The 12,971-nt window shown below is 41.1% G+C and overlaps 1 long non-coding RNA gene across 1 annotated transcript in view; it reads left to right on the top strand.

Annotated features, from left to right (window-relative positions):
* Positions 1–562: 562 nt before the first annotated feature.
* LINC01448 (long intergenic non-protein coding RNA 1448) overlaps positions 563–12,971 on the top strand; it is a 44,722-nt gene continuing 32,313 nt past the window's right edge. Inside the window, exon 1 of the long non-coding RNA NR_110833.1 lies at positions 563–779. This is a non-coding gene — a long non-coding RNA (long intergenic non-protein coding RNA 1448). The remainder of the gene's footprint in view (positions 780–12,971) is intronic.

Raw genomic sequence — 12,971 nt, 5'->3', positions numbered from 1 at the left:
ATCATACAATCTTTTCCAAAGGTTCCTTTATGTTCTTATTTTTTGTGTGTGTGATATAAACAAAGCCATCTTACGGAAATAAAGAGACAGTCAGATGGGGGGGCCCAGAAAATCTCCAACAGACTTGCGCCCTCGGAGCAATGAGCACTGGGGTGGAGCTACGGCAGTTCCCGCAGTTTGCAATGAGGAGGAGTCTGGCCCCTCCTCTTCCTGTCTGTAGCGTGGGATTCAAGCGGTGAGGCAGGAAGCGCTCTAGCAGAGAACTCTGGCCTCGCGGAGAGTCTCTGTGTCCCCCTTTTCTTCCTTTTCACTCAAACCCTTCTTTACTCTTCAAACCATCTGTAAGCCTAAATTTTTTTTTTTTTTTTTTTTTTTTTTTTTTTTTTGAGACGGAGTCTCGCTCTGTCGCCCAGGCCGGACTGCGGACCGCAGTGGCGCAATCTCGGCTCACTGCAAGCTCTGCTTCCCGGGTTCACGCCATTCTCCTGCCTCAGCCTCCCGAGTAGCTGGGACTACAGGCGCCCGCCACCGCGCCCGGCTAATTTTTTGTATTTTTAGTAGAGACGGGGTTTCACCTTGTTAGCCAGGATGGTCTCGATCTCCTGACCTCGTGATCCACCCGCCTCGGCCTCCCAAAGTGCTGGGATTACAGGCGTGAGCCACCGCGCCCAGCCTGTAAGCCTAAATTTTTGTGGCTGTGGGATGGACAAGGACCCAGTCTTTAGCTGAACTAAGGAAAAGTCCTGCAACAATAAATTTCAGAAGTTTGATCTTAACAGGTACAGAAGTTTAATGCTTTCATAAGATAATAAAATTCATCAGCATTAATGGTATTCATTGCAATCACATGGCTACCTGGAGATTAAGCAAGGATACATAGTAACTAGATCAATTCAGTTCCATTCAATTACAGAAGAATTGAGAGTTCTTTATGTGCGAGGCACTGTGCTAACTTCTTGGGGTACAAAGGCAAATGTGTCCTGTACAGATAGTTCATGGTTTCCTGGCGTTTACTATCACACAGTAGCCTCACGAGCTTTTTGTTTCTCTTTGTTATTTCTTCCCTATCTGTAGATAACATGTATGTTGACAGTGTTCTTGGTATCATGTGCAGGTGGCCATAGGACATAACACATTTGTGTCCCCACACACATACATCCACTTTCTTATTCGATAACATTATTCAAACATTTGCTGAAGTGCTAAGTATCAGACATGGTTGCATACATAGTTAGTTGATTTTGTGCAAAAGGCAAAAGTACTGATGTGAATATATTGCACATTATTTGTTTAATTCCACTGGCGATGCAGATTGAAAATTCTTTCATATTCCTTCTGGGGAGTTCTGCTTACTTTGATGACCTCAGAGCATATGCTGAACTATGGACCTATATTTCTGAATTTTTTTCTCTAACTATACTCAATATGGCTGTGAATGAGCTTTATGTCAATTCACATTGTTAGGCTGCAAAGAACAGAAACCCATTTATGCTACCTTTAGTAATGAGATTATCTTAGGGATACAGAGGAGGAAATGGAATCTCAGAGGAAGAAGTATTTGGAACCAGGCCATGCAGAGAAGAGAGCTGGATGGTGATGGTGTAAGCCAGGTGTCTGGAGGGCCGGGTAATCCTTTTGCTGTCTTATTGCTTTCTGTGGTTGTTGCTGTAATGGCGTCAGAAGTAACCTCTGTCATTATTGAGGAACTCCTGGCAATTATCCTTCCACATGCACTTGTTGCTAAGATTAAATGAGTCAAGAGAGATAAAGCCCTTGAAACAGAGCATGGCATTTTGTAAGTACTGTATATTATTGTTTATTATTATTATTGCTGCCTTAAAGTTTACTCATTACTTGAACTTATTTGGTGCTCCCAACTATTTTCCTTCTCCTTATTTTATCCTCTGCTCAGACTATAAGTGGAGTCTCATTTTCAAACCCCTCAAAGAGGCTATTTCATTATAGTTTTTTTTTTTTTTTTGTCAGGCCAATTCATAATTTACTGGTTACCTTGACTATGGCCATTTGAGATAGCCCATGCAGTTAGGATGGCTGTGAAGCCACAGCCTTGTGGCACAGTGGACGGCTCCCAGCTCACAGGATGACGAAGGGGTCCTTCCTCAGTACTGACTATGGCCTTGGCAGTTTCTTGGATGACTATGACAGGCACTGGAACTGACCTTTTTGGTACAAGCTTACTTTCCCTTGTCTAAATTATTTATCTCAAAAATGTGCTTACTGGAGTCTTAACAACTCTTTAACATGAAGTCAGTGGTACCAATTTGGAGTCATCATGCCCATATACTAAAGTAGCTTTATGATTAGTCTCAAGGTCATTGAGGCATGATTTCTATCTGTGCAGAAAGACTCTAGAGCCAAAACAGTCTGCACTGAGGAAGGAACTCTAGGTTGTTTCATGATTGTACCAAGAGGCTCTGGCTTCCCAGACATCCTGTTCTGGCCCCAGAGTCTTTTTTATACATATAGAACTCATGCCTCAATCAACTTGGGAATAATCATGAGTTAATGTATTAGTAAGACTGAAATAATTCTCAGTAAATTTTGGAGTTACCAAAATTATTTTCTCATAAGAGCCCAACAAAATAGATCTAACACCTGTTTTTCAGTATCCAGATACATTGGAAATATCCTGACAGTTTATTTATATTGGAAATTATATGGGATTTGGGGTCAAAGGACAAGAAGTTGAATCCTGACACTGTCACTCAATAGATGGGTGGTTTTGGGTAATTTAACCTCTCTGAGACTAATTACCTTCATTTCAGAATTTTTCAATACTAGTCATTAGCACAGCCATGCTATAAAAACATGACATAACATGCTAGGAAAAAAAAATAAGGGGCTTCCAAGCCAAAGGCAGAAGATATAGTAGGTTAAAAGAAATGAAAATAAAATTGTAGACTAGGGATTTCATATTACTTTCTGTCATTAATATTTTTAAATTATTTCTGAGAACACGATATAGTCCATGAGGAAGAAAGAGAGTATAGAAATATGACCTAAATATGTGTCAAATGAACAAAACACAACAGAAGGTTTTGTTGTTGACTGTGACTTAATTAATAGAGGCTTTAATCCTTGTTTTCAGTAGGCAGAATGACTAATTGAGTACTAAAGTATCTCTATTATTTTTATTTCTAAGTTCTCAAATTGTACTGATGAGCGAACTGAGGATATGTAAAACCCAGGGGCAAACAGAATTTCTGGTTGGATTGAAGTGTCTTATAGACCAGAGTTTTATTTTGCACAAGGGTATGACTCTTTCCTAATTTATGGACCCTTCAGTTTTTTGTTATTGCCATGTGGTTTTTAAATTGTATTTTTTAATAGGGGTATAATTTGGAAGCATTTGCTCCTTGGAATAAAGATCTTACCTATTAGATTTGCATTAGTTTTTCAGAAAGTGCATTTAGGATAAATGTTAGCTCAAATAGGCTTTCTTCAAAGTTGGCAAAGACAAGGAAGGAGAGAGGTGCAGTGACCCTACTGAACTGTCTGGCCTTCCCACCTGGGCCTGGCCTCCTTGCCTCTTCCAGGAAGGGCCCGGTGCCTGCAGCAGCCTAAGAACAAGCTGCCTGAAATCCAGGTGGAATAAAGGTATTTCTGTTTCCCATCAGCATGTCTTCAGGGCAGAAATTAAAAAATGAAACCTGAACCTAGAAAGCCTCACTAATGGGAACCCCACATTTGGCAGAGCTTTGTTGGGTTTCTCATGGCCAAAAGTATGGGCAACACTTCCCAGCCTCCTTCCTTCCTCCACCACTTTCTTGGCTGTCTATACTCAGGCCATGGGTAACAATCACTGTTATCTCTACCTTCAACCTGCCCAGAAATTATAGCAGAAAAGATAAGAGAAGTTGTGAAGAATGGCTCTATACTGAAGGTGTACGCAGTTGCCAGGAACTATATATAAAAGCTTTTATGTAATCCCACAGCAATCCTACAAATAGTTATGATTAGACTTATTTTACAGATGGAAAAAAAATGAGGGTTAGAGATGTTATTTTAATTAGAAAGCCAAGGTTGCACAGCTAGTAAGTTGCTAATTGTGAGCCAAACTGAGGCCCTTCTGTTTCCAGTGTTCGAGTGCTTGTGAAGCTGCTCTAAGTGGGCAGGGCAAGTGGGAGCCCTTGCCTCTGCAGGGACAGAGCACTGGGGATGCCTGCATGGTGGGGTGCCTGAAAGTCTCTTGAATTTCTAAGCTAGAACTTGCAAATCTGTCCTTATTTCCCCCTACTTCAGAGTTTGCCTACAATTCAGTTGCCTGCTGACTTGGATGAGTACTCAGGGGAATACTTTTGATTTTTGTGTCCTGGGGCTACCTAGTCCAATAATATGGAGTGCTGTGAGAGACACTAGCATAGCTTTTCATAGAACAACCTTCAACAATGTTTAAAGAAACCTGTAATGAAACAACTTGAACCAGCATTACCCCGTTTTGCTGATTTCAGCAAATGGGCCCCAACTTGAAAACATGTCACTATTCAAAGCTCATTTTTAGGTTGGTTGTTTAAAATTCAGATCACATTTTCAGAAATGGTATTATAAATGGCAGTTAGGCTTCCAGGCTACCTTATAAAAACCTACTTACCACATAACATAGCTGGAATACTTTGTATTTATAATAAAAAATGGTAGAGAATAATACTATTGTAATGCTACAAATTAAAATAAGTAATGATGGTGGGCTAATTAACTTTTATGTAATTCGTGTGGCCTCTAGCTTGAGGAAACACAGTGTAACAGCTATGAGCTTGCTCTGGGGTTAGAACATCTGGTTCAAATACTAGCTTTATGGCCTACTTATTGGTGTGACCAAGGGACAAGGTATAACTCACTGAGCCTCAGTTTACTCAACTATAAAATGGGGATAAAAACACCTCATAGGGTTGATGTGAGCATTAAGTGAGATAATATGTCTAAAGCGTTGGTGTCATAGAGCTTGACACCTACAAAGTTCCTGGGGTATGATAACTGTTGTGGACATGATTGATACCTGCTGATCATTAAGTCCTTCCCACTGAACGGACACTGTGCCAAAGATGTTGCCTACAATTTAAACCTATTAGCCCAGTGAGGAATTAGTCCCATTTTTACAAATGTGTGATTGAGGTGCTCTGAGATTAAGCAACTTGCCCAAGGTCACATCAAAACATGTCAACTTGTCTAGACCACAGGGTACCCAGATATTTGGTCACACGTTATTCTGGGTGTGTCTGTGAGGATGGTTCTGGATGCAATTGACATGTGAATTGGTGAACTGAGTAAAGCACAGTGCCCTCCTCAATGTGTGTGGGGCTCATTGAATCTGTTGAGGGCCTGATTGGAACAAAAGAGCTGAGGAAGGGAGAACTCTCTCTCTCTCTGTGAGTGTCTTTGAGCTGGAACAGGGCTCTTCTCCTGCCTTCAAACTTTGACTGGAAGTTATGCCATCAACTCTCCTGCTTCTCAGGGCTTCAGACTTGGACTGGAATCGCATTATCAGCTCTCCTGGGTTTCTAGCTTGTCAACTGCAGATCTTGGACTTCTCAACCTCCATAATCTCATAAGTCAATTTCTTATAATAAATCTCTTTAGGTAATGATAGATGAAAGATAGATGGAGGGATAGATAGATAGATGAATAGATAGATAGATAGATAGATAGATAATCCTATTGGTTCCATTTCCTGGGAAAGCTTTGATGAATATAGTCACAGAGATGGAAAGTGAAAGAATGAGGCCTGGCATCCAGGTCTATAGGTTTGAAAGCTGAGAATCCTCTGAGGTCTGGCTGTGACTCCCTTTGGGTCCATGGTTGGACAGCCCAGTTCTTACTCTGTGCCGGGTGGCACTGCCCAAACCAGGAATGGGGACTGTCAGGATTATCAGGGCCAGAAAGAAGGAGGAGAAATAGGAAAGAGCAAGTAATCATGTGAGCCAAGGCAGAAATGGGTCCCCAGTTCTTATCAATTGTTGCTTAATTTAACTTTGGAGTTTCACCAAGTTTTATCAAAGACTCCTTTCAACTTCTTCCAAAACTTGATGGTAGGAGCCAAAAGTCCTTCAAGGTCACATGACTTTATGGCCTCCAGCACCATGCCTGGCACATAGCAGGTATACGAGAAACCCCATTAACTCTGAGTAAGATGTCACAGCACTTACATAATTTTTCTGCTATTTCCAATGACTTCAGATTCATTGGGAAGCAGTAATGAAGGATTTGATTTCTAGAGGTCTCTTATCTGTCAGAGCTCCACATTGCCACCACCTACCTTCAAAGTGACTTCTCTATTAGGGAGCAGGGGGACGGTTTCGCTAACCATAGATGCTAAGACAGAAATTTAAAAATGCAGTACTCCCACGCTGAACCCAAGTTCTATGTTTTCCCTGACCAGAAGGAGTCTCTCTCCCACTTTACTCACTTGGCTCCCAGCTTTTCCATTTCAGGAACTGATCCTCACCAGATGGTGTTTAACTATTGTCAATGCAATGATTATGTTTATTTATCTAAATGTCCCTGAAGCTTCGACTGATGAACTTGGCTTTATTCATCTCTCTTCTGACTCAGTAAATTCTCTAGAATATAATATTTACAATCTAAGCTTAATAGAACCTCACGACATTGAAACATGATATGATTTTTTAAAACACAGATTAATAAATAAATCAGTACAAAAATTAAATACATGAGGATGAAGAGAAAGAAAGTGATCACAGAAAATCTGGAAAACAAAAAAGTAAAAAGCAGATGAAGCTTTCTTAAGTAGCACAAGCTAAAGAGAACAATGACCATTGGCACTCTGCAGTCATGCTTTCTGCTCTGTTATTTTTAACTTTTTATTGTTTTTGTTTGTTTGGTTAACATGGTTTCTTTTTCCTTTGCCAATTTGTAATAAATGAAGTAAAAGAGATTTTGTTAGAGTATTAACATGAGGTTCAAAAGTATCTGCTGCTCCTTCTGTTTCTTCGGACCAGCCTCGCTGCCTTCACCACCACCAGTGCCAGCTGCTGTCCTGCAGGCACTGACGCTGCTGTGTGGCCCAGGCTGGAGCTTCCCTATCACCATCGTCTCTGCATTTCTCACTTGTGAAAATCCTGGAAAACCCAGGATGCTGAAAATATTCAACTCAGTGTTTCTCCACTGGAATTCACTAGTTTCATGTTGTTACCTCGGTTTCCTGAAAGGCTGAGGTCAATCTTGAAAAGGTGACAGACAGCCTTATCTACTCGGAACCTGGCTGCTCTGTTCTTTGGAACCTGGCTGCTCTGTTCTTTCGTCCCTTCCACGTGCTTTTTCTCTGTACAGAACTGCTGACACTGAAGCAGATATTTGTACATGGAAATGATACACAGAATGCTGAAAGAGACTGGAATCTCTCCCCTTATCTACCTCCATGTGGCTGCTGACAACAGAGATATATAACTTCTGGGGTACATCCAACACATGAAAGGTTAGAACATCCGTATATAACCCACTACTTTCTTTCAAGAGGAGTTTCCTAATTTTTGCAATCACTTGGCAGGTCTATATTTCACTGCTTTATCCACTTTCTCCCCGCCCACCCCCCAACCCCGCTGATTGCTGATATAAATGTGGGTAGCAAAGGATCATTCCTAAGACTTTTGCCTGGGTTTTATAGTTGCTACCAACAATTTTGCCACAAAAACTACAAATAAAAATAGGCTCTGCAATGAATAAAGTAAACAAGGGGCTTGTAGAACCCCATGAATTGGCGTCTAGAAAATGGGCTTTTCATCTGTGTGCAGGCTCTTGGCAAAATATGTGCATGTTCACTAACCCATATGCTAAATTACTAAGTTTTACCGCATTTTAAATTATTTCACGTCCAACCCATATTTGCAGAGATATGTGGCAATCATCCAATTTTTTTTTCCTTTTTGGCTTAAGTTTTCCCCTTCTATGGATAAGAACAGAGGCAGACTTAAAGTAGAACTCTATTAGGAAAAATCTGCACGCTGCATAGGCTAACTGCAAATATAATACTTTAGTGTGTCTAGCAGTTGTGGATTGAAATGTGAAGTTGCCAAAAAAAATGTTTAGGGCAATTCTTTATACCTATTAATGAATGACTCCCAGGAGAAGGAAATAAAGTAAAACTCAGCATATGCCAACAGCTGGTGTGAATATGAAAAGTCATCTGGCTTGATTAAAGTCAGCAAACTTTGCTCCCCTGTCCTATCATACATTCAAAGTAGAATGATGCTGGAGGTATGACTAACAGCAGCGAGATTAACTTTAGAACAAAACTAAACCTCTGGATAAATGCTATCTGCCAAAGAAATAGGCCTGAACGTCTGTACACATGTTCCTGTGACCATACCAATTCCCCAAACTTCTCTAGGATCCGTCTTTTGTGTCAGTTTGAGCCATATAGAAAAATTATGCTTGCTATTTTCTGATAATCAAATATACTTCCAAGGATCTATTATAATTGATTATATTATCAAGCTGGATCTCCTTATGGATTATAAATAGGTCTATTAAAAACAACCAAACACATGTAGTAATTGACTACCTTGATCATTGCCTGTGGATGAATGTTAACCTATGCCATGAGGGCAGAAGCTTGAGTTCCACAATTTGAAATGTCCAGGCACCTCTGGAGGGAATGTGAGGAAGGCCTGCCATGGTTCTATTTGCATTGACACAGACAGCCATCAAGAAAGCAAGACTTTTAGAAAAGACCCTAGGTACTAAGGCAGTCCAAAGACAAGGTATCAGCATTCGGAGAAGGTACACTTCTGAGGCTTGTATGCTATCTGTCACTTCTACAAGTTTCTGCCAACTGGGAAGAGGAGACTTCAATTAGAACTGAAAGTGCTGCTTCACTAAGTGGCTGGAAGTCCTCAATAACAGAGTGTGGGGCAGCTAAAATTAGAGAAATGCTATTTTCATTGTTATTGTGGATCTAGGATTTCTCCTCCAGTTTGGAACTATCCAGGAAACACATCAGAACCACCTATCTAATGAAACAACTCAACAGACCTAGCCCTTCAACATTTAAAACAATTGTGTATGGAGTCCTCTTAGAAATACTTTTATAATATGTTGCCAAAGTATATAAATTATCACAAGAGTTTTTATGTCATGGAGGCACTACAGTTTAGTGACTTTGAAATAAAACGAGTGTGGGTTTGAATCCCAACCCCACCACTCACTATATAGATGCCATCGAGCCAGTCACTTGCTCACTCTAAGACCCAGTTTCCTATTCTGAACCAGAAAGACAATTGATTAAATACTTTATCTCATCACAGTTGAATTTCTGATTGCCCAACTGAAGTCCTTGGGAATTAAATCTGCCTCTACTTTTCTTGTTAAGTTTCCCAACTGCTAATAAAAGGCTCCTGTTTGTTCAGATAACTGCCTGTATAATGGTCTTTTAGATATGATTGGCCAGAGTAAAAATGACAAAAACAATGGACCTTTCCAAGCTCTGTCTTGTGGCTCTTTGCTTGTGACGTGTCATCCTGCAGCCCCTCCTGGGAACAGCAGCTGTGGGCTGAAGCAGTGATGGCTCCTCTTAGACCTACCTTAATCTATAGTCTCTCCCTTTCTTGCAGAAATTATTCTTTTTCTTCTACAAACTCTGCAATCTTTCTCCTGTTTCTTCCGCATACTGTTCAAAATATTTAACCTCTTTCTTACTATCACAAGGCCTGTCACCCACACTTTGGAAATGTTCTAGAGTGAACAGAGGAAAGCAAATTCTTCACTTACTTTATCATTTCCCTCCTGGAAACCTCTTCTCTGATCTCTCTGACTCCAATCTTGTAGTCTTTCCAACTAGAGCAGGAACAATTTTTCTAGAGATAAAAATGATCATTTCTCTTCTCATCCTTCCTCCTTGAATTATTTCAGCTATTCCCGTGTCCTTCAAGTTGAAGGTGACACATCCTTGCATGACTTACTTCACCCTTTTCAGTCTGGCTCCTGCCTGCTCCTCAATGCATTCATTTTCTCCCTCTCAAAGCTCCCACCAGACCTTCCCCATGCCATGCTCCCTCTGGTTTCAGAGACTTAACTCACCCTGCTGTCTTGGCCTCAAGAGCACATCTCTTCTTCCCTGCCATGTTGCTGAGCTCACTGCTCCTCATTCAAGAGCCAATATGGGCCCTGCTTATTCCATAGTCTTCCCTGGTACCCTCTCACTCTCTGCAGTCTTGGCAGGTGCCACTAGCATATGATCAGAAGGGTCTATGATGGGGATTAAAGGAGATAGGGCATGGGAAAACACATGCCGCATAGTAGGCTTCCAATAAATGTTACTCTCCTCTAGTGACAAAGACCAACTCTGAACATTATCTAGTCTTGTTCCTGCATTGCCTTTCAGTAATTCTTCAAAACATTACTTTCTCTTTCTTGAACCTAATGCCTCTTCATTCCTTGCTGCAAACATACTGAGCATCTTGTCAGTTGCATAAATGACTATCCAACCTCCAAAATTTATTTTCTGAAACATTCTTATCAGTCCTTTATTCTGGGATAAATGTGGCCTTATCTATACCCTTAAATAGATAGGGTTCTAAGGATCTCTATAAAGGTCTCTTCCAGCTCTAACATTCTTTGATTATAAGATTTATTTTATTAAAAACTCCTTAACACAGATGAAGTCAAATTTCTGGAACTCGATCATACAATTTAAAGATTATCTAGGGCCTTGGTTCCTCCTCCTCCTCCCTTCGCCTCCCTTCTGCTACATGCCCTTAAGTCATTTTTACTACTCACGAACTTCTCTGGCAGGGAAGTAGAAAGGAGACACAATGCTAGCACAGCAGCTTTAGTGAAAGGCACGATGGGAGAGGTGCAAAAGGTTGGCTGAGGAAGATTGTTGAGATTCATGATACCTCCACCTCTTTAAACTGATCAAAAGTAGGTTAGCTGGAAAATTACTATGCTGTCTCTGATTTTTTTTTTTTTTTTTTTGATGGAGGCTCATTCTGTTGCCCAGGCTCGAGTGCAATGGCACAATCTCCACTCACTGCAAACTCTGCCTCCCAGGTTCAAGTGATTCTCCTGCCTCAGCCTCCCAAGTAGTTGGGATTACAGGTGTGCACCACCATGCCAGGCTAATTTTTGTATTTTCAGTAGAGACAGGGTTTTGCTATATTGGCCAGGCTGGTCTTGAACTCCTGGCCTTCAGAGATCCACCTGCCTGGGCCTCCCAAAGTGCTGGGATTAAAGGCATGAGCCACTGCGCCCGGCCTTTCTCTGATTTGTTAAAATAACAAATGCTTTGTCCAAATAATTCACTAACTCCAGGCCATGTCACTCACCATTATATTTAATTCCAGTGTCCTGCTCCAACTTTCAATCCTCTCTCCTCCATCTAAGCAGGCTTGGGGTTTGTCCTGCTTCTCTCTCTGTGCCCTACCACACTCACATCTTTTTATTTGGGAGAAATATGGAATGAAGGACATGAGGACTTGCAGGCTTGGAACATGTAGCTGTTTCAACCTGGCATCTTCTATTCCCCTAAGGAAACCTGACTGAAATTGCCGGTGAAGGCTATAAAGAGATCTCCTAGTTGTAATGTCTGAAACCGACCTGGGGATTTTATGTAGAACTCTGCAATGTCAGCAGCTGCTTAGCTACACGTATTCCACACACAACCCCTTTTATAGCTTTGACTTAGAGCCAACTTCTGTTTCCAGCACAAGTGCCAAGAGCCAATGGCTGCTTAGATTCATGACAGCTCATTCTTCCCTAGAACTTTCTTTTCAGTTCAATTGACAGAGGCAGAGCCCTGGGGTCCTTATTCATCCCAGGGAATATCATGACGCTGTTTGCAGAATTCGGATTGGGTCCTGGTACTAAGCCCGAGTGCTGAATCCTAGGACTTTGCTATCCTGGCTCTACAGTTTGTTACAGGCATCTTCCTCAATGAAGGGACCTGGCAAGGCAAACCAGTGAGTCCAGTTCTGGTTTGAGTTTAATCATTACTGACTTTTTTTTTTTTTAATTCTTATACATGGCCAAGAGTGTTATGGCAAAGTTTACCAAACTTGAATTAGGTGGAGAACATGTATAATGTGTGACCAAAAACTTTTCTAAACATTTTAGCACCTTATATCACTTCATAATACAGCATTTTCCCCAAAATTGGTCTTGCTCCCAGCCTGTGAAATATGAGAGGGGAGGTTAGGAGAGGAGATGGCCCACTATGGTGATGGTGGGGATCTGGCCTCACTGTCAGAGCAGTGTCTTTGATGAAGGTAGTGACCCTGCTTTGAATGATGAGGACAATATGCTATTTCTTAATTGTGTTCTATGTGTGTGTGTTACTTTACATAATTTTCATGGTGGTTCCATCAGTTCCGTAGTAGTCTTATCCTCATTTTACAAATGAAAATGCAGCACAACAAGTTTACATGATTTTACTAGACTCACATAGCTCATGTGAGACAGGTTTGGACCTTGACCCATAGTGACATGCCTTCAGAGCCTGTGTTTGTCCCAGTATTTTATAATGTTTCTTGGGTATATTGTAACTAGGTTTTCCCCTTCTTCTTTGGTCACTTTCCCAAGTTATAATTTTTCTATTCAAGTTTAATGCAATCACCATGATTCAGATAAAGCCTGAAAGGACATAGTCACCTTTCACTTTAGGTATGGTGGTTGGGTGAGTTCTATCATTAATTCAACAGGTATTTGCAAGTATCTTACCAAAGTCTGGTTCTGAGCTAGCTCCTCATGGTAATATAGTTTTACAGGGGACATAGGCTCTAGGCAAATTGTTACAAATGCGATGAATGCCATATAAAGGAATTTATCAGGCATCGCAGATCATGATAAGTCCAGAGGACACACTGGAAATGGGAGGATAAATAAATAGGAGTCAGTTGGTCTTCTGAGGAGGCTAGAGAAGAGTGTTCTAGGTTGAAGTGGGGCATGCTTGAAGCTTGGAGGCCAACTAGAGGCAGTTAGCCAAGATTCTGTGGTTCCCC

The sequence above is a fragment of the Homo sapiens genome, chromosome 7 (assembly GCF_000001405.40).
Source record: "Homo sapiens chromosome 7, GRCh38.p14 Primary Assembly".
Classification (NCBI taxonomy): Eukaryota; Metazoa; Chordata; class Mammalia; order Primates; family Hominidae; genus Homo; species Homo sapiens.
The sequence above is the reverse complement of the archived record's forward strand: the minus strand, read 5'-3'. Positions and strand labels throughout refer to the sequence as shown.